This window comes from Homo sapiens, chromosome 10 (genome assembly GCF_000001405.40).
Source record: "Homo sapiens chromosome 10, GRCh38.p14 Primary Assembly".
Taxonomy (NCBI): Eukaryota; Metazoa; Chordata; class Mammalia; order Primates; family Hominidae; genus Homo; species Homo sapiens.
The window spans coordinates 4328780-4354723 of NC_000010.11; the positions used below are offsets into that span (position 1 = coordinate 4328780).

Consider the following 25944-nt stretch of genomic DNA (forward strand, 5'->3'; position numbering starts at 1 on the left):
CTAATCTAGGAAAGATGTTGTAACTTTTATTTTAGTTTTCTTTCTATCATAGGAAGTTAAAAGGGCTGATGTTACCCACCAAATGCTGAATCCTCTTGTGCTGAATAGAAACAACAAATACTTCCATGCCTAGTATTAAAAAAGAACATATGCGAGGAGATTTGCTAACGTATGGTCAGGAAGACTTTATTCAGGACCATTTAAATAGGCATAGAGACACCGCTCTGGGGTGTGGCAGTGGGGTAGAGATTGGGCTCCACTTTGAATGCAGTGTGGGCAAGCGGGGAATTCACAGCCAAGGAGCAGGGTGGGGGTGAGTGTCAGGGCCAAGGGAATGCTGGCTACACCGACCTAATGGTTTCCTGCTGAAGAGAGGCCAAGGTGATCAGATACCACCTTGGTGGATGGTGGAGGAAGAGGAACCTGAACAGATATTAAAGGTGATCAAATATTGGAGGTGGGGGGTTCTTGCTAAACTGACTTTGCAGGGATTTTACAAGAAAGCATGCAGAGAGGCCTTGGAAAAGGTTCAGGGAGCTGGAGTACAGTTTGATCAAGCAAAGAATATTTGCTACTATCCAGCTATTAGAATCATGTCTGAGGCAAGGCTGTACTTTTATTAACTTTCAGTGAACTTTAGAACAGCTGAGATTTTGGCTGGGTCTCTACATTTGAGTGAATATTCATAGTACGTAGATACAGGAGCAGCCCAGTGATTGCTCGGTTTTTAAAATAAAAGGCCTTATGACCTGCACCTTTCTGACACTGGTTCCCAGCCTCCAAGCACATTCCAGAAGACTGAATACAATCTTGGGTACTTGATAAAACACCTAGTTGGGGCTCCGAACACTACACCCCCACATATGGTGCTCTGCCATGCTAAGGGGATGGAAAGGCTCAGAAGCAAGGTCTCTCTGACTTTCTCCCATCCTGGTGTCTTTCCTCAACCCTCATCTTCCAACTCCCTAACCAATTCATAGGAAAGAGAATTCCTCTTCCCCAACACAGCTCATAGACACTAGAACCCCTCTCTTCCAAAGCAAGCCATGAAACCTGGAAAGGTCATTCTCTCTCTTCTCCCTTGAAGATCCTTGTTCCACAGGAGTCCTGCCCTATACCTGGAAGGAAGGAATGAATGCATGCAGAGAATCCAAGAAGAACCTGAACAGGCAGGCCTTGCTGGGATTTCCCCTCACTCTATCACTATTAGATCACAGCCTTTTGTCTAATCACATTTCTACACAACTGTCCGTTCTTTATAGAATGTAGGCATAAAAATAATTTTCCTTGAGATTTTGGCTCTTCATTTCTGCATTACTCTGTGTCATGTAAAGTTTGATTAATAATTTTGTTATACTTTTCTCCTGTTTACCTGTCTTTTGTTACAGGAGTGTTCACTGTCATCCTCCTAATAGGTAGGGGATGGTATCACACCTTTCCGCCTTAAAGCCTCAAGAGGTGAAAGAAGGCCTATTGTAGTCATATGGCACAGGGCAGAGAATCTCCAACTTTAATTGTCTGGGATCTTGTTTCAGGCAGATAATTAGCAGGAGAAAATAGAGTCTGACATTGAGCATTTTAATGAGTGCCTGGGCAATATCAAGGCTGGTTGTAATATCAAGGCTGGTTGTTCAGGGAGCACAATGACTCTCTAAGCCTGGATTCCTCACTTGCAAACGAGAGTGGTGCTGCTCACAACTCAGGTACTATTTGGAGAATCAACAAGATTTGACGTGACATGATAAACCCAGAGAATGAAAGCCAGGAAGCATTTAATACATGCTACAATTTTTCCTTTGCTTTTAAAAAGTTGATTTGTTATCAAGAGAAGATGACAGAAATAATACCATTTCGTAACTTTCCATTCTTCACTTTGATAGTTTATCATATATGTGTTTATTTTTCTCATAATAATATACAGGAAACACATTATATTTTCCTAGCGCTAGTCAAATTCTATTTAAGTTTGTTAACACACTAAATCATTGTCAGATAGGGGTCATCATTAGGTTTCATTGGTGTTGGTCAAAGTGGACACTATTTCCAAGACAGCACTTTCCGCCAGAGATTGTGGCATTTTGCCCAATATCTGTTAGGCCGCTTGATGGCTTTTCACATGCCTAGTGAAAAAATTTTTTTTTCCTTTTGATTCTGTTTTTCTCATAATAAAAACTCCCTTTAAAATTGAAGGCAAATTTTATTTTATTGTGGAAATAATCCAGCTTGAGAATGAATCAATGCCACACTTTTTCCATGGAATGAAAGTATAACCTCGTTAGGCTTTTGTGTGTTTTCACAGATGTTGTTCTCCTTTTTTGTAGAAGTGAGCTATCAAAACCTTATTCTGCAGCCATATATACAGGTACAGGTTGAAGCTAGAACTCAGGATAATAGTATACTGAAATTTTTAGCAGCCTAAATTTGTATTTTAAGTAATTATGTCCACCCGTAAGGCAAATATTTAGAACATGTCTGTGTTGACTGGCCCTGTCGACCTCCTGATGGGACTTTTAAGACAAAATGAACACATTGTTTCTGCTCCCTGTGCCCTGAGGGTGGGAACCAGGCTGTGATGTCTTTAAATAGTCACAGGTTGTATCTCTAACCTTTGTGCCATTTCCTAATGATTCATACCCCCAACTGCAGCTTTTGAATAGCTGACAAGCTCAACTCTTAGTGATATAACTTTTAATAACATATATTCTTATTACCTAGGATTTTTTTTTTTTTTGCCATAAAAATACATGGCAGTAAGTTTTTATCCCCCTCCCTAATATGTGAATAAAAATAAAGAATTTTTTAATTAAAAAAACAGGGGTGTGTAGTCCTGAATGGCGTAGTTCTGAGGCTCTCTTTGTTACAACTGTGTGTTAAAGGAAGTCTACCAGGAGCTTGAATGTATATGTTTTAATACTGCTTTGTCCCAAACCATTTTTGTACCTTTTGTATCATGAATTATTTTACATGGCACAAAATAGAAGAAAACGATTAAAACATTGGAGAGAATAATGTCCGTCGTGGTGTAGTGGGAAGCAACAACATTGAGAGCAGAACTAGGGTGACCAACTAGACTGCTCCCATTTGTCCAGGATGGAAGAATTTCCCTAACCGTGGACGTACAGGAGGAACTCCAGGATAGCTGGTCGCTTCGGCTGCCAGCCTCACTGGCGTCAAATAAAGGCTCTGCATTTTACCAGCATGGAAACTTCTGGCAAAGCCACTTCTCAGAGCTTTGGTTGTCTTCTTTATTAGCATAAATACTCTTTATGATTTTGTTAAATTAAGCATGGAATAAAGTGTTCTGCTTACATATTTTAAGTTTGCCTGAAAGGTTTCTCCATACATAGTGGGCTGTAACCTAACTGGATATGTGAACCAACTGTCACCTCCTCTTGTAGCAATCAGTTTCTGCCAGTCAGAGGTGGCCAACTGTCCAGACCAGGCTCAAATAAAGAAAACGCAGAACTGTAACCGATTGGGTGTTTTTACATGTCACTTCCGTCTTCTGTACCTTACTTCCATCTTCTTTAACTCATTTCTATTTTCAGTACTTCACTTCTGTCTTCTGTACCTCATGACCATCTTCTGAACCTTGTTCCCTCTTCTCTATCACACTTCCGTTTTCTATCACTTCTATCTTCTCTAACTCATTTCCACCTTCTGTACTTCACCTCTGTCTTCTGTACCTCGTCATCTTCTAGGCCTTCTTCAGTCTTCTGTGCCTCATTTCCATTTTCCTTACCTTATTTTCATCTTTGTACCTCACTTCTGTTTTTCATAAATGACTTCCGTTACCTGTTACTTCCGTTTTCTCCACATCACATTCGTTTTCTGTACCTCACTTCTGTTTTCCTTAACTGATTTCCATCTTCTGTACCTCACTGTTTTTCATAACTCACTTCCGTTTCCTGAGACTTACTTCCGTTTCCTCCACCTCACTTCCATTTTCTGTAACATCGATTTTCACAACCTCACTTCCGTTTGTTATACCTTATTTGCATCTTCTGTATCTTACTTTTTCACTACCTCACTTCTGTTTTGAGTAACTCACTTTCATTTCTTATGATGTACTTTGGTTTTCTCTACCTCACTTCTATTTACTACACCTCACTTCCGTTTTCATTACCTCATTTCCATCTTCTGTACCTCACTTGTTTTTCATAACTCACTTCCATTTTCTGTGACTCACTTCCATTTTCTCTACCTCACTTCCGTTTTGTCTACCTCACTTCCGTTTTTTCAACCTGACTTCTGTTTTCTATACCTTACTTCCATTTTCAGTGACTCACTTCTGTTTTTTATACCTTATTTCCATCTTCTGTATCTTACTTTTCACTACCTCACTTCTGTTTTTCCTATCTCACTTCCATTTCCTGTGACTTATTTCTGTTTTCTCTACCTCACTTCCTGTTATTAGACCTCACTTCTGTTTTTTTACCTCATTTTCATCTTCTGTACATCACTTGTTTTTCATGACTCTCTTCGGTTTCCTGTGACTTCTGTTTTCTGTACCTCACTTCTGTTTCCCTAACATCATTAGCATCTTCTGTACCTCACTTCTATTTTTCATAACTGACTTCCGTTTTCTGTGACTTACTTCCGTTTTCTCTACCTCACTTCCGTTTGCTGTACCTCACTTCTGTTTTCTGTAACTTCCGTTTTCACTACCTCAATTCCGTTTTTTATACCTTATTTTTGTCTTCTGTATCTTATTTTTTCACTACCTCACTTCCGGTTTTCATGACTCACTTCCGTTTGTTTACTTCACTTCCGTTTTCCGTACCTCTCTTCTGTTTTCCTAACATCATTTGCATCTTCTGTACCTCACTTCTGTTTTTCATAACTCACTTCCGTTTTCTGTGACTTACTTCCGTTTTTTCTACCTCACTTCCGTTTTTCTACCTCACTTCTGTTTTATGTACCTTACTTCCGTTTTCACTACTTTACTTCCGTTTTTATACCTTATTTCCGTCTTCTGTATATTACTTTTTCTCTACTTCACTTCCGTTTTTCATAACTCACTTCCATGTCCTGTAACTTACTTCCGTTTTCTGTACCTCACTTTCGTTTTCTGTACCTCATTTCCGTTTTCTGTACCTTACGTTTTCACTACCTCACTTCTGTTTTTCATGACTCACTTCCGTTTCCTGTACATCTCTTCTATTTTCTCTACCTCATTTCCGTTTTCTCTAGCTCACCTCTGTTTTCTATATTTTCCTTCAGTTTTTACTACCTCACCTCTGTTTTTTATACCTTACTTCAGTCTTCTGTACCCTACTTACATTTTCACTACCTCACTTCTGTTTTTTCATAAATCACTTACTTTTCCTGTGATTTACTTTGATTTTCTCTACCTCACTTCTGTTTTCTGTACCTCACTTTTGTTTTCTGTACCTCATTTCCGTTTTCTGTACCTCATTTCCGTTTTCTGTACCTCATGTTTTCACTACCTCACTTCTGTTTTTCTTAACTTACTTCCGTTTTCTGTACCTCACTTCCATTTTCTGAACTTCACTTCCATTTCCCTTACATCATTTTTATCCTCTGTACCTCACTTCTGTTTTCCATAACTCACTTCCGTTTCCTGTGACTTACTTCCGTTTTCTATACCTCACTTCCGTTTTCTGTATCTCACTTCCGCAATGGTCCCCACCTTGCCTGGAGACCAAGCTTTCTTTGCAGGCCTCATCAAGTGTGCTTGTGGCTTCATCAATAGTAAGTGCTATTCTCATGGTTATCTTCAGACAGAGATAAAACCATCAGTCTTGTTCTCAACTCTGCAACTTCTCTCCAGCAATCAGGTGCCTCTGGGGGACAGGTTGAAAGTCACACCAAGTCTGCTGGTTCTACACTAGCAGAGATGAAGTTTGGGTTGACAGATTCCCAGTGAGAATGCCAGCATCTGCTCTTCAACATCCCATGGCTGACCAGCTCCTTTACCTGCTATATTTTGTTAGTGTGCTTTTACTTTCATCTTTTCATAATAACTTGTAGTGTACAGATTATGGGACACTCTGCGGTGATTTATTTTTAGATCTTAAGAAACTAGACTTAGATTTCTTCAACTATTAAAAATCACAGAAACCAAGGCTATGCTTTCCATCACATTGCTGTAAGCCAGGCAAGCTCGGGAGTTAGGGCCTGATGTTCTTTCAAAACCTTGACTGTCCACAGGCATTTGCTTTCTTTTCAGTGAATCTCTCATCTGAGCTCCTGCTCATGGTAGTCGCAACTTCCATTTATTTTGTGGTCAGAATAGGAACCACTGAAGACAGCCTGTGGTCATTGTCTGCTGAGCAGTGCAGAACAATCTATTAAGCAGAATTCTGTTATTTTAAGGAGTTGAAGGCCCATAATTCTCCTGGCATGTTTTCACACAGTTAATGTTTCCAGGTATCTCGGCGTTGTTGAGTGTAAGCTGCTGTGATAGCTTATGCCAAACTATACTTGCCGTTTCCTTCAGTGGCCAATTTTTAATCCACTCTCTTATGCTGATATAGATGTTCTCTTTGTTTTCCTTTCTGACACAAGCAGGAAGTTTCCAGAGCCCCAAAATAAGAGAGCAAATGACTTACACTGCTTATTTCAGTTTAGTTAATTTATGAATATTTTCATAAAGTTTGATTTTCTGTGAACCACTTAAATTTAGTGAGAATATTTCCTTCTGTTCCAAAGTAAATAAATGAAGAAAGCTGGAGAAACTCATACCGTCTTTCAAGTAAGGAGAAGAAAACCGACCCATCGATTTCTCGTAATTCTATTCATGCTATGTCTTTGATGGGCTTTTAAGGAGCTGTTGTAACCCTGGGTTTTGAGGGCAGTGCATTCCTTTTAAAAAATATGATTCAACCATTAGAAATAGGTTGGAACTTCAAATACCTACCAGCTTCCTCCCATCGATTTTGCATTTTCTCCTAGGTTTATACAACATTAATTAGCCTAGCTTTGCTTTTTAGAGTAATATATTGTGGGTGGCACAACACTGCTGCCAAGCAGATTTGATGACAAAGAGGAGAGTGGTTTATGTTGGATTTGTATTTTAAGGGAAAAAAATACTTGCTATTCTTTGTCTCTCCCTTCTCAATATAATCAAAATTTAAAAATGAATAAAGCCAAGACAAAACAAACAAGGTAGCAAAACACCCCATACTATTATTCAAAGGATCTTAAAAATGTGAAACAATGACCCACTCTATGCCATTTACTTGACTATTTTAAACAGAAAACAAAATGTAGAAATGTAGAAATGAACAAAAATGGAACCTGAGGAACAATGACAGTGTTTTAAATTATTTCCATGAAAGTCCATGCTTTTATTTTTAGGCAATCCTCTTATGTACGCAATCACTGATTATTAATGATTTCCATAAGCACAATTCTTCCAAAAATCTTATCATAAAATATTTCTAACATAAAAGCTGAAAAAATTGCAGAGTGAACACTTGTGTACACTCCACCAGGATTTTATAATTAACATTTATTATCTGTTTTGTTTCATATTTATCTTATTTTCATTCCTCTGTCTAGAAATCAATCTATTATAAATACAATTTTAATCAGTTGATTTATCTTACTTTCCATCAGCAGAAATTTGGAAGCAATTAATTTGGAGGAGGAAAGAGTCTAAGTAAGATGCCTAACAGATCTTGGTGCGTTGACAACCTTGAAACTTGATGTTAATGGACAGGTACAAAGATGAAGATGAGCTGAACAGTCTTAGTGGTTGAAGCTGCTGCATGTAAGATAAGCATGTTAAATCCATGCCATGTATACTGCAAATCCCAATCCTGTGCACAAAGCAGGCATTGCTAAGAAGACCCTGCTGTATTTAAAAAGCCTAGATGCACTGATAGAACCCTCAACACAGGACTCCAGCCATGGACTACCATTGGTTCAGAGCTGCCAGTCCAGTAGTAGCTTATGCATCACCTACGGTAGAGTGGAAACTCTCCTGCACACGCCAGTCACTCCAAGGGCACTTTAATTAAAACCACACAAAATTTTTGTAGATAACAATAAACTTGATTATGGATAAATCATGAAATCAATAAATATAGAGTTCCTGGTACTCACCACCACCACCCCTTCTCTAATTTTTTTTCAAATTCAGGTAATCTCTATACCTTTTGCTTAAAAAAGAAAAGACAAGAAAATAAAATTTTACCTTACAATTCTAACCATCCTGAAAAGTTTTTGTGGCCTGGGTTAGACATGGGAAGGGGTTAGGAAGTTCTCAGTAAGAACAAAAGAAGCAATTATGCAGGTCAATATACAATGCATTGATGACCTAGGTGTGTGGTGGATGTAGGAGATGGAATTCAGCCAGGTGCATATTTTCCTGTAAGAGCCTCGAATGAGTGTGGGATGAATAAGAGGATGAAGGAATGGTATATGTACACACACAGCAATTTCTCAATAATGGATTTTGCAGACATAAATGTCATCTAGCTTTTATCGTTTGGTATAAAATCTCAAAGGCCTTAGCAAAACAATAAACTTCAATTAGCTTGATTGTGAATTTTTATGATTTCTTAATCTATTAACTTCTCATTGCTAATGTTACGGCAGTAATTTTGGAATAACCTGAGCAATAAATGCCATGATTAAGGGAGAAGGCAGGGAGGGGGGGTTAATATATTTTTAAATGGCTACTAGGAAAATAAAAGTTAACTTTTAAAAAAAGTTCTAACATATTAGTGGTGAACTTCATTTATCTAGAAGATTCCTGGAAATGAACTAGCTCATTCTCCAATAAATCATATGTGAGGCATTACCTACTATATATGCAGAGCAATATATTTTGTGACCTGCTGACTTTTTGAGTGAAGTAAAAATATTGCTTTTAATTCATCCTAATTGTAATGAGCTAAATCAATTTGCCTTTTGAGTCCTGCTGACAGCATAGAAATGTGGTGGTGACGGGGAAGAAACAGGAACCAGGGCAGCCAGGCCTGGTGGGTGTCTGGATTCTGCATATGGAACTTGCCTCCTTGCACTGTTTGTGTAGCTGGGCCACTGAAAATAGAGGATTTCCCTTTCTGAGATCCCTGAGGCCAACAGGAAGATCATATTACTGAGCAGTGTGCCATAAGAACTTTACCCTGTGAGGTTCAAAGGCACCATAAAGTTCACACTGGCTTCCACAGATATTTCTACTGATTTCTATTCCGTTTATGGTGAAACTAAAACTGTCACATCTTAAAGGTGACCCCCAGCAAGCAGGTGGTGTTTGAGACAGTGGCACCTTGTTGCAGCTTCTGTTCCTCAGGGTGGAGCATGAATACAATGCAATATCCCCATGCATGTGGATCAAATAATGAAGCAGCTAAACATGTGAAGGCACACTTAGGTCAGTACCTGCCAGACACAGACAGAGAGCAGGTTCAGGTCAATGGAGCACAGCTGAAGCTGGGTCCGGATGGGATGGGTCTAAGTAGAAATAAAGTTTCAAAGGATGGAAAGCCTTTAAACACTTAAAATGGTGCCATGGATGAATACAAATTATTTCCCTAAAAGCTCTCTGGACTCCATCCCTATCGTCATAAATTTTTCGGATGAAGCACCTATAGGCAGGCTGCTGCAGAAACAAATGATAATTACGTGTTTCTAAAATCACATTTTGGCAGTAGGGTCATTTGAGAAGGGCTGCCAGTCCTTTTGCAGCACAGGAAAAACAAAGCTACTGTGAAGACACTAGCTTCATAATCTATGCACTAAACTCACTAGGAAAGTGTAGCGTGTGTGTGTGTGTGCACACACGCGCGTGCTTGTGTGTAGATTTCTATGTATATCACTTTTTGCAGATTCATATCTGGCAGCAATTGTGCAGATTTGGTTGTTAAGCATGAGTTGAAGCCAATTTGGTCAAGTAATTAGTGTTCTGCCCTTTCTAATTAGCTGATTTAAGGTTGCATAACAGATTAATTTTAAATTAATGTTAATGCTGCTATGCTCAAGGTTAAAAGAAGGGACTAGTAGGATAGCACTACATAGTACCGTCTGTCTTCTGCGTTTCTCAACCAAGTAGGTTTCTCAGCTCTTGGTCCACTCTGGAGCCAGTTACCCATTGTGCTCAATTCACTTACAACTGTGCCCACATTTCAGAAAAGTGGCAATTTTCAAGAGCTTCTTTGACTGACATGTAGCTCAAAACCACATGTGATGCACAAGTTGAGATTTTAAGATGACGTCAGAAATGAGAGTGGGCAAACCTTGTACTCATGGTCAGCTATTCATTCATAATCCAATAATGAGAAAGTATGCTTACACATTTTCACCTACACATAGAGAGATACAAACATCTCTATGTATATGTATTTCTATGCCTCTATACATCATATGGAGGCTCCACCCACCACATGCTCCACAGAACATTCATATTTCTGAGTTTTCGTGAAGGATGCTTTATCTCCAGCAGCAAGGAAGATGGCCTATGTGGTTTGGGGAAAAAGCTGTTCCAGTCAATGGCACCTGCCTGCCAATGGCATTTACTGTAGGGTCATGAATTTGATTTCTGTATTGACTTGCATTCCTCTGCCATGTGACACATCTCAAGCTGTGTGTCCTATCCTGGGTGTTAATTAAAGAGAGCTTTTTTGGTTGTGCTGTTGTATTGCAAAGAGTCGCTGATTTTATAGACCTTGGGGTGCTCTGGCAGGTTCCAGCTTATGTGGCATGCTGGTATTCCAGGGATTCTCAAAGTCTCCCTTGGGCATCATCACTCTCTCTGAAACTGCACTCTGACCCTTGACACCATTGCCTGGCCCTCGCCCTGCCCTCATGTCCCTCCCACTTTCCCTCCTCCGTGTCCACACAGAGAGACTAACTTACATGTTAGCTTCTAATTTGTAATTTCACTTTATTTAATAAAAAGAATCAATATTATACAAAAATGGTGTTTATAAGTCTGAAGTATTTAAGGTTCATATACAACTGTGCACCTGATTCTAGCAAAGCCTGCAATAAGAAGACATGTTTGTTTTCTGCTTGGGTGGAGGATTACTTGTGACTTCAGAAGCTTTTTAATTTTCTTAAATTTCTTTCTCTTTACTTGTGTGTTAATTACCACAAGAGCAATGCCCATGTCTTGCTCAGTTGTAAATGGATCCCCATCTTAGCACCAGACCTGACCCAAGGCACATCCTCAGCAACTGTGTTGTGAGTTAATGTGTGGAGGGATATACCACAAGCCAGCTCCCACCCCTCAGATGGGAGGAGAGAGAGGAGCCCAGGGAGATTCACTGAGCATCCCTCGAAGCTTCCCACACCGTGAGAGAAGGTGTTGATGGGAGCTGTACAGTGCTGTTGATGGAGGGAGGCCAGGTTGAGAGTAAGGAAGCCTTTCCATGTGAGCTTGTCTTGTAAGTCGCCCAGAAAGACTAATCTCTGCCCACATCTAACCTCGGCCACAAAATCCTTTTAGGCAAGGCCTGAGTCTTCAGAGCTGCAGTGATGCGTTAGGATGCCTCTGCTTCCCTAAACAAATATTTACTTTTGTACCATTTTTTTGTATTCATAATTCTGATCTTTTTTTTGTTTTTAAGGTTCTAGGAATTGTATAAAATTTAGGTTCCACAAAACCTGATGGAGTTCCAAATGAGAAAATTTAATATTTTCCTCCAGAACATTTGTCCTTGCTCTGTATACTGTATCTCTTCCAGCTCTCCCACTGCTTGCTTTTCTGACTTCCTTCCTCCTCCTCCCTCCTTTTTCCTGCCTTTCAGCATCTTAAGGAGCCCAGTAATCCAGGTTTTCAGTACAGCCTGGAGCAATCTAAGTTGAAAAATCTCTTTTGCAAACATCACAGTCATAATATGGTGAAAATTTATCTTCTTTCTTCCAGCTTTATGAAAACGCTTACCGTTGTAGGGGATCTCCCCTAAAAGTGAGACTTTGTAGGACTCGGGACCCCACCCCACTGCTTAGAAACCAAAGGGGCAGGTATTTCCTCCTTCTTCCCCCAAGTCAATGTAATAGGAGGATGTGATCTGTGTTAGGCCATTGGATGCTAGAAGTAAGAATTATTTTTTAATTTAATTTTGAAGAAGTGTCACGTGCCCCAGAGACAGTAGACGGTTGCTTGGGAAGGTGATGCAGGTTACAGTCCAGCAGCACTGGTGGTGGGGGCAGAGGGGTGGGATCGGTTGCTGAGGCAGAAAACCTCTGGCCTGGCAGGCAGGCCTCTGGTGGCCTCTGCCACGTTCCCCAAAGCCCAGCCTCCTCTGGGTCCTCATTCTTCCCCAGCCTCATTTCCAACACTTCTTATCATTTCTGTAAACTGTTAATATTCATTCAACAAATTCCTTTTCTGCTTAGGGCAATGGGATTTTGATTCTTTTGGTTGCGTCCAAGAACTACACTTTTTTGATATCTTAGAGATCTTTTATTCTAATCTCTCTCATTTTGTAGAAGGAGAAATAGGCTGCTGCATGAGGTAGTGGAAACTGCCCCACTTTTCAGAACTTATCCTGGACCTGATGATCTCACGATTTCAAGTCAACATTTCTCTGTCATTTAGACAAATCTAGGAGGCAAATAAATCTCTAAGAATGAATAATGTCTGGAATGAGTGAGCCATAGTTTTGTAAAACAGATCATGTTTACTGTGAATATTGTACGGAATCTTGACTTTCTTATTCTAGAAAGACATTTTCAGTGATTTTTACAAACGTGCAACCACACTGAACAGAAGTGCTGATCACTGGCCATGCTGGGAGTAACAAAAGTTACCTGTTGTTTCCTAACATCTTTTTCAATATGTCTTGACTCTTTTCACCCCATCACTTGATTCTCTCCTACTTCCTAGGATCTGAGAAGCATTTAGAATCAGAAAAGGCAGAATTGGAATCTGAAAGGCAACAGAATCAGAAAATTTGAAAACTGATTAGATTTGGGGATGGAAACGAAGGCCTAAAAGATGACACTAATTTCTCAATATTGATAAGTAGATGAATTACTAATCACACACACCCCATACACACATACTCACACACATATACACACTCATACATACATACGCCACACCCACACACATGCATGTACACATAAACATGCTCGTGCACACACATACATATATGTACGCACTCATCATGCTCATATACACACATACATGCACCACATAAACACACATACATACATGCACCACACCCACATGCATGTACACACATAAACATGCACACACATGCACATACTCATGCTCATGTACACACATGCACACACACGGGTGCACACTCATACAAACACATATACACACACACACCTCCAAAACAACAAAGCAAAAAAAGCATACAAGATTCTTTAAGGAGAGTGTGCATTAAGGAGAACAATCATCCCTGCACTTAGGGAAGGAGAAGGAAAGATGTCACTGGGTAGCAGGGACAGCTGATAAGTGGTCAGGATGGGCACATAAGGATCAGAAGAAGAAAACCCCCAAGAATCAGAAGAGTAGCAGGCCATGAATGCTAAGAGAAGTGCATGTTCTGAGAACTGCAGGCCAGCAGGGTCAGCCTGGTGCAGGCCAAGGAGCAGAAGGACTCAACATAGGAGACTAGATGGAGGGACCAAGGTAGCATGAGGACCTTTGCAGGAAATGTCTCTCTGGTGTAGATAAAGTAGAACATCAGCGTTAGTCAAGAAATAGCCAGGGGTGGGAATGGGGAGGACCAGAATGTAAATAACCACTCCTTCCAAGAAATCTGCCATTACAAGAGTAGTGGGAGATGGTGTATTCAATCAGACACACATGGCTATAGATTAAATGTCATCTGCCTCTGCAAAAAGTGGAGAGTTGGGCCATTTTGTTAGAATAGGCCTAAATATTCTTATGGGACAAAAAGAAAAATAGAAAATAGAATGAGCCTGCTAGTTTACCTCACTCTGTGCACAGTAATTCCGGTGCTGCTTCAGATTGCATTTTAATAATGAGTTACCGCAATGCGATTCCACCCCGTACCCACTAGGGTGGCTATAGTAACTATTTTTTTTTTAATGAACATAACAAGTATTGCTGGAAATGAGGAAAAACTGGAACCCTCACACATTGCTGGTGGGAAAGGACTATGGTGAAACCACTGTATCCACTGTGAAAAAACGGTTGTTGGTTTCTCAGAAAGCTAAAGGTAGAATTACCCTATGACGAAGCAATTCCACCCCAAGGTATATACCCCCCAAAACTGAAAACAGGTGTTCAAACAAAAGCTTGTGTATGAATAATCATAGCGACATTATTCATAATAGCCAAAAGGTAGAAATAAACCAAATACCCATCCACGATTGAATGGATAAACCCAACATGGTCCACCCATACAATGGAATATGATTTAGGCATAAAAAGGAGAAAAACACTAACATGCGCTCCCACATGGATGAACTTGGAAAACGTCATGCTAAGTAAACAAAGCCACACACCATCTGACTCCATTTAGATAAAATCGCGGGAATAGGCAAATCCACACAGACAGAAAGCAAATTGAGAGTTGCTAGAGTCTGCAGAGAGGAGAGAATGGGGAGTGACAGCTTAATGTGTGTGGGGTTTCCTTCCGGAGGGATGAAAACATTCAGGAACCAGAGAGTGATGACATTGGTGCGGCACTGTGCTTGTACTACATGGCTCTGAGTTGTTCAAATTAAATGGTTAAGATGGTAAATTTTTGTATGAATTTTAATAAAGTATTAGTTGGTTGCTTTTTAAAATTGCTTGACCATTTATGTCTTTATAAAGTAAGGAATATGTTTCTTTTAATAGGGCTCAAAAACTAAAGATTCTGAAACAGTCTCTAGATAACCTTGTAACTGCTGCTTAGACTACGAGGTAGTAATCTGACAAATTTCTAAATTACATATGACTTTTAAATTGTTTTTAAAAAATTATTGTATAGTTGGTAAGCTCCTATTTGGAAACAAGGGAATAATGAATTCTTAAAAGAGCAAGATTCTAGAGATTTTCTGTGAGAATCAGAGGATAAAACACTTTTATTAGAGTCAATGAAGCCATGTGCCCCTAAATATTTTATTTTCAAATTTAAAGTGTATGATTGATTGTCCAAGCTGATAATCAGCACCAACCCTCTCTTGTTTTCCTCGTGTATAATTTATATCCTATTATTTTGAAGAAAGACCCAAGGCAACTGTGCTATCCACATGTGTACATTGAGCCGCAGTCTTCCAGCTGTGCAGTTTCCGGAGCATTAAAAGAGTTATTCTCTCTTAAAACACAGGCTCACATGCCTGAAGTCCCACTCTTAGAAAATGATTTGATTTCTCCTTTCATCCAGGATCCTCTGATAAAGTGCCACTAATGACTCCTGGAGACAGCAGAGCAATGGGGCCCAGGCCAACTGCGTCTTCAGAGTCTGCACTTGTGACAGAAGGGGGCATCTATGTGGAAACCTCAGCATCTTCTCAGTGCATCTATTCCACAGCTGATCTGGGCCAGCTTGAGATTCCCTCTCTCACAGCACCCTCCACCCACCTCACGGAGGAGGCAAAACTATCTCTCAACTTTCAGTGTGAGAGTCTGAAAATGGGGAAGCTTTAAGAAAGACAGGTTTTTTTTTTGTCTGTTTGTTTGTCTGTTTTGTTTTTTCCTTAAAGCCCAAGGCTACCATGTTTATTTCTGGCTTTGGGTTTCTTTCTTGAAAAAAACCCTTTGATAGAAAGCACACCTTGAGTGACCTGCGCACCTCTCCTTTGACACAGATCCATTTTGTTTGGGGAAGTTGCATGGGAGGCAGAGTTGAAGCTGCTGCAGAGGTTTGTATTTCAACAGATCATTCCAGCTATCCACGCTCAGCGCCAGGGAATATGGAGACTATAACATAGTATGTGGCTGACGCAAGTTGCCTACATAACTCAGACGAGAGCTCCACACCCTGGGGCTGTGCCTCGCCACTTCTGTGGAAAACATTCTTCAGAGCTCTTTGGAACAGGATGACTCACATCAGGGGGTATTTTTAGGAATCTGTGAACTTGCATTTAGCTTAGAGATGCAAGATCCATCCAGAGGAGCTCTGAGCCATTACACACGGGCTGTTTTGAATGTTGTAATTCAACCACGGTTTCTTGGTCTACGATTGAATCATCCTCCAGTTAAGCATCAGAAGAAAACAGAAAAAGACTGTTGCTACAGCAGGGCATTTGATAACATGCTAAGGAAATCAGTGCCGGCAGCGGCCCCATGTATATTTTTACAGAAGAGCACCTGCTTGTTCCCAGCTCATCTTGCAATACTTGCTTAAATTTTGCAAATTCACTCCTAGAAATTTGTTGGATTGCATTAAAATATCAACACTGAAATTAGAGGCAGGTGTAGTCAAATGCATTAAAATGCCACTCTAAGCAAGGTCAGCTATACATAGTGCTCATTTATTTGCAGCTTACCTTTCAAACCACTGGAGAGAGGGGCAAATTGGAACAGCAGGTGCGGCCTGTGGAAGCTTTAAGCAGCATGAGACAGTTTCCCCCTGGAAGGTTGGGACCTCCCAGATACGTGTGTGTATATTTGTGTGTGTTATGTATGCATGTGTGTTGTATGTGTTTAAGTGTGTGTGGTTTTTTAATTTTTGTTTGTATGTATGTGCATTTGTTGTGTGTGTGTGTTTGTATGTGTGTAGTTTAGTTACTAAATAATCAGTTCCAGGTAAGAACAAATCAGTCCATCCATCAACCAATGAACAGATGAGTTGTAGGCAGACCTTTCAATGCTGAGAAATAGAATCTTTGTTTCAGTGTCAGGATAAGGAAATTCTGCTGTCAAATGTCCAGAGAATAAGGGTTAGCATTATTTGGGCTTGGAGGCAAGAATTTCTCATCTTCCAGTAATGATCAAAACCTGAACAAATCTAATAATATGTAAATGTCCAAAAAAAGAAAGAAAGGAAGAAGGAAGGGAGGAAGGAAGAAAGAAAGGAAGGAAGGAAGGAAGGCAGTGAGGGAGGGAGGGGCAAAAATGGTGAAGTTTATGAATTAAAGGAAAAAGGAAAGATTTTAGTCAACTTAAATATCGTATTTCTTTCACAGCTGAAGTTTTCTTCGTACATGTTTACGTTTTTTTTTTTCTTCCCTGCCTGATATTTTGATTATTTTTGCTGCTGGTTTGCCAGTATGTAAAATTTTCTCACTGACTGTCCCTTGCCAGAACATGGAAGTCTGTGTTGATTGTTACACTACCTGGGTTGACCAGGGTTTAACGTAAATTCATGAACTTAACAGTGGATTCTTCTCCAAGTGGAGCTGTGATGACTAAGAGCACTCCCAGTTGACTTCCATTTCACAAACTTTCCCCCTTTCACTTCAGTATTATTAAAACAGATGGTGCCTTTCCAGTCCAGCAGGGAACTACAAAAACCAATTTTAGAGAGTAAATTGGAAAGTTGATGTTTCCTTTTAAACAAACAAAGGAGAGCTGAACTACCTCAGCCAAGAAAGAAAACCAGATCTCAAATGTTAACCTAAATTCAAACTACTATAAAGCAGTCTTTTGCTGAAAAACAAAGCACAGAACATTACATGGGACCCTTCAGTGAAAACTTTGATCATAGTTTTCATGTTTCTGTCAGGGTGAAAAGAAGAAATAGCAGTCTCTTTTGACAGTATTTTTGGTCTGGCCAAAAATAAGGACGTATCAGATAATCCATGCAAAATGTTGTTTTGATGTAATTTCCAGTCATCTTTCCAGACTCAAAAATATTTGGCTAAGAAGCAGCTGGAGGCTAGAGCCAGAGTTGAGTCTCACATGGTCATTTGTTAAGAACTGTTCATTAGTAAAGTGAATTCTCCAAACATAATTTTGATGTTCAAGTTACAGTCAGATGCTCACATGTAAATGCAAACAGTATAAGAATAAAATAAACTTTAAGAATATTTACTCTTAATTTTCATAGGTGTTATTATTATTATTTTTTGAGATGGAGTTTTGCTCTTGTCACCCAGGCTGGAGTGCAGTGGCCAGATATCGGCTCACTGTAACCTCCACCTCCTGGGTTCAAGCGATTCTCCTGCTTCAACCTCCCAAGTAGCTGGGATTACAGGCGCCTGCCACTATGGCTAGTTGGTTTTTGTATTTTTAATAGAGATGGGGTTTCACCATGTTGGCCAGGCTGGTCTTGAACTCCTGACCTCAGGTGATCCACCCGCCTTGGCCTCCCAAAGTGCTGGGATTACAGGCATGAGTCAACGCACCCAGCCATAGGTGTTATTTTCAAACTGCCAATATGCTTAATTTAGTCACTATCTCTTTGACTCAAAATTCCCATTAAATATATATTTCTGCAGACTGTGTGTGTGTGTGTGTGTAAATATATATATACACCCTTCTGTGTGTGTGTCTGTGTGTGTATATATATGTGTGTATTATACATATGTATATATAATACACACATATATGTATATACACACACATATATATGTATATATGTATATATACACACATATATGTATATACACACACACATACAAAAGGTATTTTGCCGTACTCTCAGAATGGTCAGTGTGTGATATTTACATTTTTCTCCCAGTTACTGCTCTTCAGCTCATGATTACAGAAAACATATATATTTACATATGTGAGTAAATGTATATATGTAATACATATACTTTATGTATACATATTACATATATAATATGTATATTTATCTTATACATAAAATATAGCATTCAATGTGATAATTTGGTTTTGTATATAAATGAAAGCATGCGAAGGAAAATCTTTCAATACACTTGTGTAAGTCGATGATACCTTAAGTCAAGAATAACATGAAACTTACTGTTTCAAGTGTTTTTGAACTCAATGACTCTCAACCCCTGGACAGCTCTGCCTTCCCCGCCCCACACACACCTATCACAGAGCAATCAAGGACAAGAACACACTTGTGTGGCTGGAACTTTGTATAAAGTAAAAATGGTGAAGTCTATGTATTAAAGAAACTCCAAATTAAGTGACAGGAAGACTGACGTCCAGTGTGCCCCCCGGGGCCTGTCTGGGGCCTGTCATTGTGCGTGGTGCAGAACCTGCTCAAAAAGCACCAGTGTATAAATGAATGAATGAGAAACTCTTGAGCTTTGAAAATGTCTTCCCTCCTCTTCCCCAGGTATTGTTCTAGAGAAGGGAGGATGTGAAAAGTAACTGAAATCTGCTGTACGAGTTTTAAAATCACCTGTAATTCTGCTACTCCTATATCACAACTTTTAATATTGTGGAAGATATTCTTCTTGTCAAATTTACTTTTCATTTACCAAAGTGGGAATATATTATACAGTTTCATAAAGTCACATTTTATCTTTCATAATGAGATCAAGCTACATTTCACAAAAAGGAAGAGAGTCTTGGTAGTATTTGCATTTTGTTGTAAACATAGACACCTCCTGGTCCATATATTTGCCTCCAGGGACAGTCACCTTTACTTTTTATCAAGTAGACTACAGGTCCTCCAGCAGCCAGACAAACGTTCTATGTTTCCAAGAAAGTGGCTTGTCTTCAGTTAAATGTCCCAACGTAATTCCATGAAAGCAACAATGCTTTATTGGCTCTGAGTTCATTAGATGGGAAGAATTATCAATCTTCCTCCTCTAACATGTAACAAGGAAGCAAATAAATAGGAAAATACATTTCCAGAAGAGCACGAGTCTTTTGAACCTAAACTTTGTGTTTAGTAGTTTCTTTGACACATTATTGGGTCTCAGGGTGATGGGTGCAACAAAATCTCAGAAATCACCACCGAAGAACTTATCCGTGTACCCAGAAACCACCTGTTTCCTAAAAACTGTTGAAATAAAATAAAATATTAAAAATAAATATTTTTGAATCAATAAATAGTACCAAATTCCAGTGAATCTAATAGGATGTTAGCTATAAAGTTTAACTAAGCTAACTGAATGATTCAATCTGGTAAATAGAGGTTCATATTCTTTGTTGCCATACTAAAACTGTCTGCCAAAAAAAGACATTGTTATTTTAACATAATCAGTATTGAACACTTCCTGCAGACAATAAGTGGTCATTAACTTCATTTACTTCTTGTAGGCATGCTTTATACAGAATCAAAAGGCCATATTAACTGCATAAAAAAGTCCTTATCTTCTCATTTCTTATGTTTATAAATGGCATTGCTATGAGTTTTGCAAAGTGTTGAAAATGTGAGGAAGCTGAGATTACGATTGTCTGTACTCCACAGTAATCTCCTTCCAAAGAATCAAAGGTGTTTAAATAACAATTATTCACCAGCTCACTTATTTTCTGCAATACATTCTTTTTGGTAACAGCTTTATTGAGATATAATTAAAATGTCAAATTCACCCTTTTAAAAAATATACAATTCAGTGGTTTTATTATATTCACAAGGTTGTGCAATCATCACCACAATCAATTTAATAATATTATTATCACTTAAAAAAAAACCCAGTACCTTTTAGCAGTTACGCTCCCATTTTTCTCTAATCCCAGCAGCCCTAGGCAACCGCTAATCTACTTGCTGACTCCAATAGTTTTGCCTGCTCTGGACATTTCATATAAATGGAATCATATAACGTGGTCTTTTGTGTTTGACTTCCTTTACTTAGTATAATATTTTAGAGAGTCGTCCATGTTGTAGCATGTATTCGTTTTTTGTTCCTTTATATGGTTGAATAATATTTCATTATATCAACGTATCACATTTTATGTATCCATTCATTAGTGGATACACATTTGGCTTGTTCATATCTTTTGGCTATTATTAACAATGCTGCTAAGAACATTTTTGCATGAGTTTTTGTGTAGACAAGTGTTTTCATTTATCTTGGCTACATACCTGGGAGTGAAATTGCTGGGTCATATGGTACCGCTTTATTTAATTTTTTGAGAAACTGCTGGACTGTTTTCCGAAGTTACTGCACCATTTCACATTCCCAACAGCAGTATATGAGGATACCAATTGCTCCACATCTTCACCAACACTTGTTATTATCTAATTACTTCTGTTTTCTTGCACAAGAATGTGAATGTACTTAACACTGTGCACTTAAAAATGTTCGAATTTATGTTATGTATATGGAATTTTCTTGTTTTTTAATTTTTTTAAATTTCAATAGGTTTTTAGGGAGCAGGGGGTGTTTGGTTACATGAATACGTTCTTTAGTGGTGATTTCTGAGATTTTAGCACTCCCGTCACCTGAGCAGTGTACTGTGTACCCAATGTGTAGTCTTTTATTCCTCACCCCCCTCCCACCCTTTCCCGTCAGTCCCCAAAGTCCAATATATCATTCTTATGCCTTTGTTTCCTCATAGCTTAATGCCCACTTAAGAGTGAGAATATACGATGTTTGGTTTCCTATTCCTGAGTTACTTCACTTAGAATAATGGTCTCCAATCCTACCCAGGTTGCTGTGAATGCTATTACTTTGTTTCTTTTTACGGCTGAGTAGTATTCCATGGTATAAATATATACCACCTTTTCTTTTTTCCCTTGTTGATTGATGGGCATTATCCTGTAATATATTTTAACAGACATAATCCCTAAGTTTTTATCACTTTTCCCAAACTTCTAGTGATTTATGATTACTCACTTTAATAATTCCCAAAGAGAGAGCTTGTGATTAAAAAATCAAATACTGGATTACAAATTGTGGTTGAAAGAATATTTAGGTACAAATTTAGGACTTGAAAATTGTTTTAGTTTTGTCATTAGCTAAGTTGCATGGTCTTCGAAGACGAATTTCGCTTTTCTAGACTTTGTTTTTATCTGCAAAGGAAGGTTTGAAACAGGTGAACTTCAATTATTCATTTAGTTGTAAATATTCATGATATGTGATTGCTCAAGACTGCAATCAACTGTGAGAGGTGGTAACTCCCAGGGCTTTAGCTAGGGTATATCACAGATACTTCCCTGATTTCTAGTGCCAGACACCAGGTAACTACTCACTCATTTTCCATTCACTCCGGAAAAATGGCAGAACCATATTTCTTAGGGTTTCTTGCAGTTAAATGGTAATGTGACATATATCTACCCTATAAAATGAGAACTGAAGTGGCACTCGCCATTTTCAGGCATAAAACTCTGTCATGTACAATTCCCAATGCTATCTTCTTCTTCACCACCTTCATGCACAGGAGCATGGCAGCCTTGGAAGTGTTGAAGCTGGTGGAACCATAGGATGTAAGGACCCAGGTCTCTGAGTCACTTCCTTAAAAAGAGCCATCCATTGACTAGGAACACCAATTTCTGCACATTCTTTGAACGATAAATAGACCTCCATCACCTTGGAATGAGAAACAGACCTCATTTTTTTTCCGAGCCATTGTATAGTTGAATGGATGCTTGTCATAGCAACTGACATTACCCTGGCTATTGGATTCTACTTCCAAAAAACTGCATGGATTAGGCTTGACTCAATTAAAATGACTTCAAGTCAGTCAGCCAGATAACAAGATATATGGAAATCTACATATTTCACTCACACAATGCTAAATAACTTGTTTGGCAATTTTATCCTTGTTGGAGTTAATGGTTGAACCTGAAAATGGTTGATTTTCTTATTAGTTCCTGGTTTGGTTTCTCTATCTTAATCTTGTGTTTTGAGGCTGTCATGTAACTACCACATAAATTATCTCTGAACATACGTTTTTGTATCAGTTTGTTTTATTAACATATCCCCTTAGTTCACTATTCAGAAAGCTGTCCCTTGGCCTGTGTCTTAGAGACAGCCTGAGATTTGATTTGCATCCTTGCATTTTAGTGCCTTTGCACAGTCAGAGAAGAAATAAAATCAATTCAAGCTTTGGAGGTACAGAACATGCTACCCCAAAATATGCCACTTTGGCATAAGGATTCTTTTGGGCTAAAGACAATTGAGAATATGCTAATACAAGAAAATCTTTCAAACCCTTCCCATATGCCTAAGGCAGGGCATCATTTGTAAAGGTGTCTCCCTTTCTCTCTACCCAGAAGGACAGGAGTTAATCACCGAAAAAACTCTAGCCCCTTATCATCCTGTAGGGTCCACAGAAGTTGACCTAACAAACCTCACTCACTAGCCCTTGCCTTGTAGCCTCATATGTTTACTATCTCCCAGTTTGCTGCTCTGGAAACTAAATGTCCGTTTTCTTTCTCTTGCCATCACTGTAATAATTAATTGTTCTTTTGTTAAGATGCTATAGAAGCCCAAGTTCAAACCACCCAGTAGAGTGACTCATCACTGGGTTTTCTTATGTGTATGTAGGATGTGAGTGTTAGTAAACTCCTGATTGTTTTTGTCTTGTTAATCTATGTTTTATCAGTCTAGTTTGCAGGGTCTCAATCAGTGAACTTAAGATTGGCGTAAGAAAAATACATTTTTTCCTCTGCTACAATGTCTTCGGGAGGAGGCACATTATTCTGCCTACCACATACAGCTACCCTATAAGGCTGAGTGGTTGTTTCTAATTCATGTAGTCATCAATTTATCCACACAATAAATATTCACTAAGCACATGCTCTCTTTCAGGCACTGTGCAGACTCTGGGCTTAGAGAGCTGAGCAAGACAGTGGAGTCCCTCTGGAGACCCAGAGACAAGAGGAAAGCAAAGACCAGCTATGAAAGCACATCCAAAGGCCTGAGCATTCCCAGGGATGATCTGCAGAGGACCTGGACATGGTTGATGCAAATCTTGGTGGACACTATAGGATGTGTTAGGTTCAGGCCCACAGGACAGGATCAGAGTTCACAGCACAAAGACCCTGTTCTCTGCCAGGGTCTGAGCACTTTCAGGGAACACTTCCCAGAGTTTTCCACTCACAGAGCCTGGTGAGTAGCTTTGCTAAACATCAAGAAATCATCCTGGGGATTGAATTAAAAGGTTGGCAAGCCGAGAAGTCTTGGGATCCTCTGGACTAGGATACCCCTTTCAAGAGGGGAGATAAGTTATCAGGCTTTCAGGCTCTTGATAAATGTCTTACAGATGGGTGATTATGAAATGGCTGTGTTGTCACTTTACAGACCTGCGTTCCTGCCGAATGCACACAGACTTGGATCCTCTGAAAGTCTGTTGAGGTTAGCACTACCTCCCGCGTAGATGCTCTTTAACACAGTGTGACTATTGCAGGTCTTGCAGGTCGGCTGCCTCTGGGGAGGGGTAAAATGTGCTTCGTGCCAATCACTAAGTGGTGTTCAGGAGGAAAAGAGCTGGAGGAAAAGCAGAGGAAAGGACAAGTTATGATGGAGAAGCATTTTTCTTGGCAACAGCCCTTCCTTCCTCAGTGTGGCTGGTGCCTCCTCACCTTCTCACCTCCTCACCTTTCACAAAAGATTCTCAGCTCCCTTCTTCCTCTTATCTTTTCTTTTTTTCCCGCCGGCTGTTTAGAGTGAGAAAAATATCTGGAAGAGACAATGCTTTGATAAGAAATGATTAAATTCCACTGTGATTGGGGGCATCACGACCACTGCCGAGTTCCATATCTCAGAACACAATAGCCCAGCAGGGACATCCGCGTGGACTGCGTTGCCTCTGCCCAGCCATGGAGCAAAGGTCTCTCATTTCTCCTCTCACTTCAGACCTGCTGCAGCGCTCACACTGTCCTCCTATAATAATGCCAGAGAGAAAGAAAAGCCCTTCGACTCATGTCCCTGGCTAGGGCTGAGATTTCTAGGAGGAGGTAGGGAGGATCGGGGAAAGATATGAATTCTCTTTAGATAAGTGGCTGATTGAAAAATGTAAAAGGATGCTTCTCGGGTCTGGTACTTATGATATCACCAGCATCCATCTGTGTTTGTTAAGCATCTCTCCAACCACTGGGATGTTTGCAGGTTTATGTCATACTCTTCCAGGAAAATATTTAATACATGGACAAATTAGGAGCCAGTGTTAGAAACAAAAATAGATAAACTGTTAAATAAGGGTTGTGGTTCTCTCAGAAGGTGCTAGTAGGAGACTCTGCTTTTAATGTCTACTTCTATAAACAGATCCTAGTTGCTTTGCTGCTATACAAAAAGCAAACCTTTTATAATCCTGTTTTCAGTTTTTTCAATATTAGTATTCACTATGAAGTCTCATTTACTTTATCATTTACAGAGTGACACTTAATCACAAAATCTAGTCAGAGATTTCAAAGAAAACACGGGGAAAAACCCATCAATATGCTGATATATTAATGGTTTACTAGCTAGTTACTATAAATAAAACTCCAACATACGCTACCAACTATCCCTTTCTCTCACCTCTTGTTCCTCCTTCTTCTTCTTGATTTTCATTTTTGTTCCTGAATAGGCAAGGTTACACACAATTTATTTAAAGGACATTTACTCTCAACCTAACGTCTTCACTACCACCAGCCTGTAAAACACTGGCACCTGGACAACATAATATTTTCATTGCTGAGTCATTTCCTCTGGTAAATTTTATCTAAAAGGATAGAAAACAGCATAAACACCATAACTGGTAAAGGTGTAATTTCCAGATTCTGTGGACAATGTGAATCTACTTTGTTTACATTTTCTAATCAAAACAACCTGTAACCTCCAACAAAAGCATTGTGTTTAACAGGAGTTCTCAAATTCTTTAGGAGAAAGTACAGTGCAAACAAAGGGAATCTGGATTCTTTTAAATACAAAGCTGTCCATCACAGGGAAAGGTGCTTGAACCTGGAAAGTATATTTCAAATATAACACGAGTGACTGATTTAGAACTGAAAATGCATTTTCTGTGATTAGAATGGATGTATTATTTGAAGTATAAGCCCAGCTCTTGTGGACGAAACATAGCAGCACAGAACACAACCTGCCTGGGGACTGAGTCAGCTTTGCCGGGAGCATAAAACATTTAATGGCCCATAAAACTGACCTCAGCTTTTCTTTCTTTCACCAGAAATACAGGTGGAAATGAGCAGCTCTATGTTATGACAAATCAGTCGACGAGTATCTATTCTCCACCTCCTTGGTGTCTGGCGCTGTGTGAGGCACAGGCAGCGTAAGGGTGAATAAGGTACAAAGAACCCTGCT

General features: G+C 39.3%; 1 long non-coding RNA gene across 3 annotated transcripts, besides 3 other annotated features; it reads left to right on the forward strand.

Annotated features, from left to right (window-relative positions):
- Positions 1-5678: 5678 nt before the first annotated feature.
- On the forward strand, positions 5679-8036 carry LOC105376370 (uncharacterized). Of its 3 annotated transcripts, none has more exons than XR_930589.3 (3): positions 5679-5715; positions 5795-5952; positions 7585-8036. It is a non-coding gene; the product is annotated as an uncharacterized LOC105376370 (long non-coding RNA). The 3 variants fall into 3 exon arrangements; XR_001747272.3 differs by having other exon boundaries at positions 7588-8036; XR_007062035.1 differs by lacking the exon at positions 5795-5952.
- Positions 15300-16499: an enhancer, noted in NCBI's record as "BRD4-independent group 4 enhancer chr10:4386271-4387470 (GRCh37/hg19 assembly coordinates)". NCBI's record gives its function as "activates an origin of replication core promoter dependent on BRD2, P300/CBP, MED14 and CDK7 cofactors, and independent of BRD4, by STARR-seq in HCT116 cells {active_cell/tissue: HCT116}" and the evidence as "EXISTENCE:reporter gene assay evidence [ECO:0000049][PMID:35650434]".
- Positions 22878-23172: a silencer, noted in NCBI's record as "tiled region #6674; HepG2 Repressive non-DNase unmatched - State 22:ReprW". NCBI's record gives its function as "represses a minimal TATA promoter and a strong SV40 promoter by Sharpr-MPRA in HepG2 cells {active_cell/tissue: HepG2}" and the evidence as "EXISTENCE:reporter gene assay evidence [ECO:0000049][PMID:27701403]".
- Positions 24243-25442: an enhancer, noted in NCBI's record as "BRD4-independent group 4 enhancer chr10:4395214-4396413 (GRCh37/hg19 assembly coordinates)". NCBI's record gives its function as "activates an origin of replication core promoter dependent on BRD2, P300/CBP, MED14 and CDK7 cofactors, and independent of BRD4, by STARR-seq in HCT116 cells {active_cell/tissue: HCT116}" and the evidence as "EXISTENCE:reporter gene assay evidence [ECO:0000049][PMID:35650434]".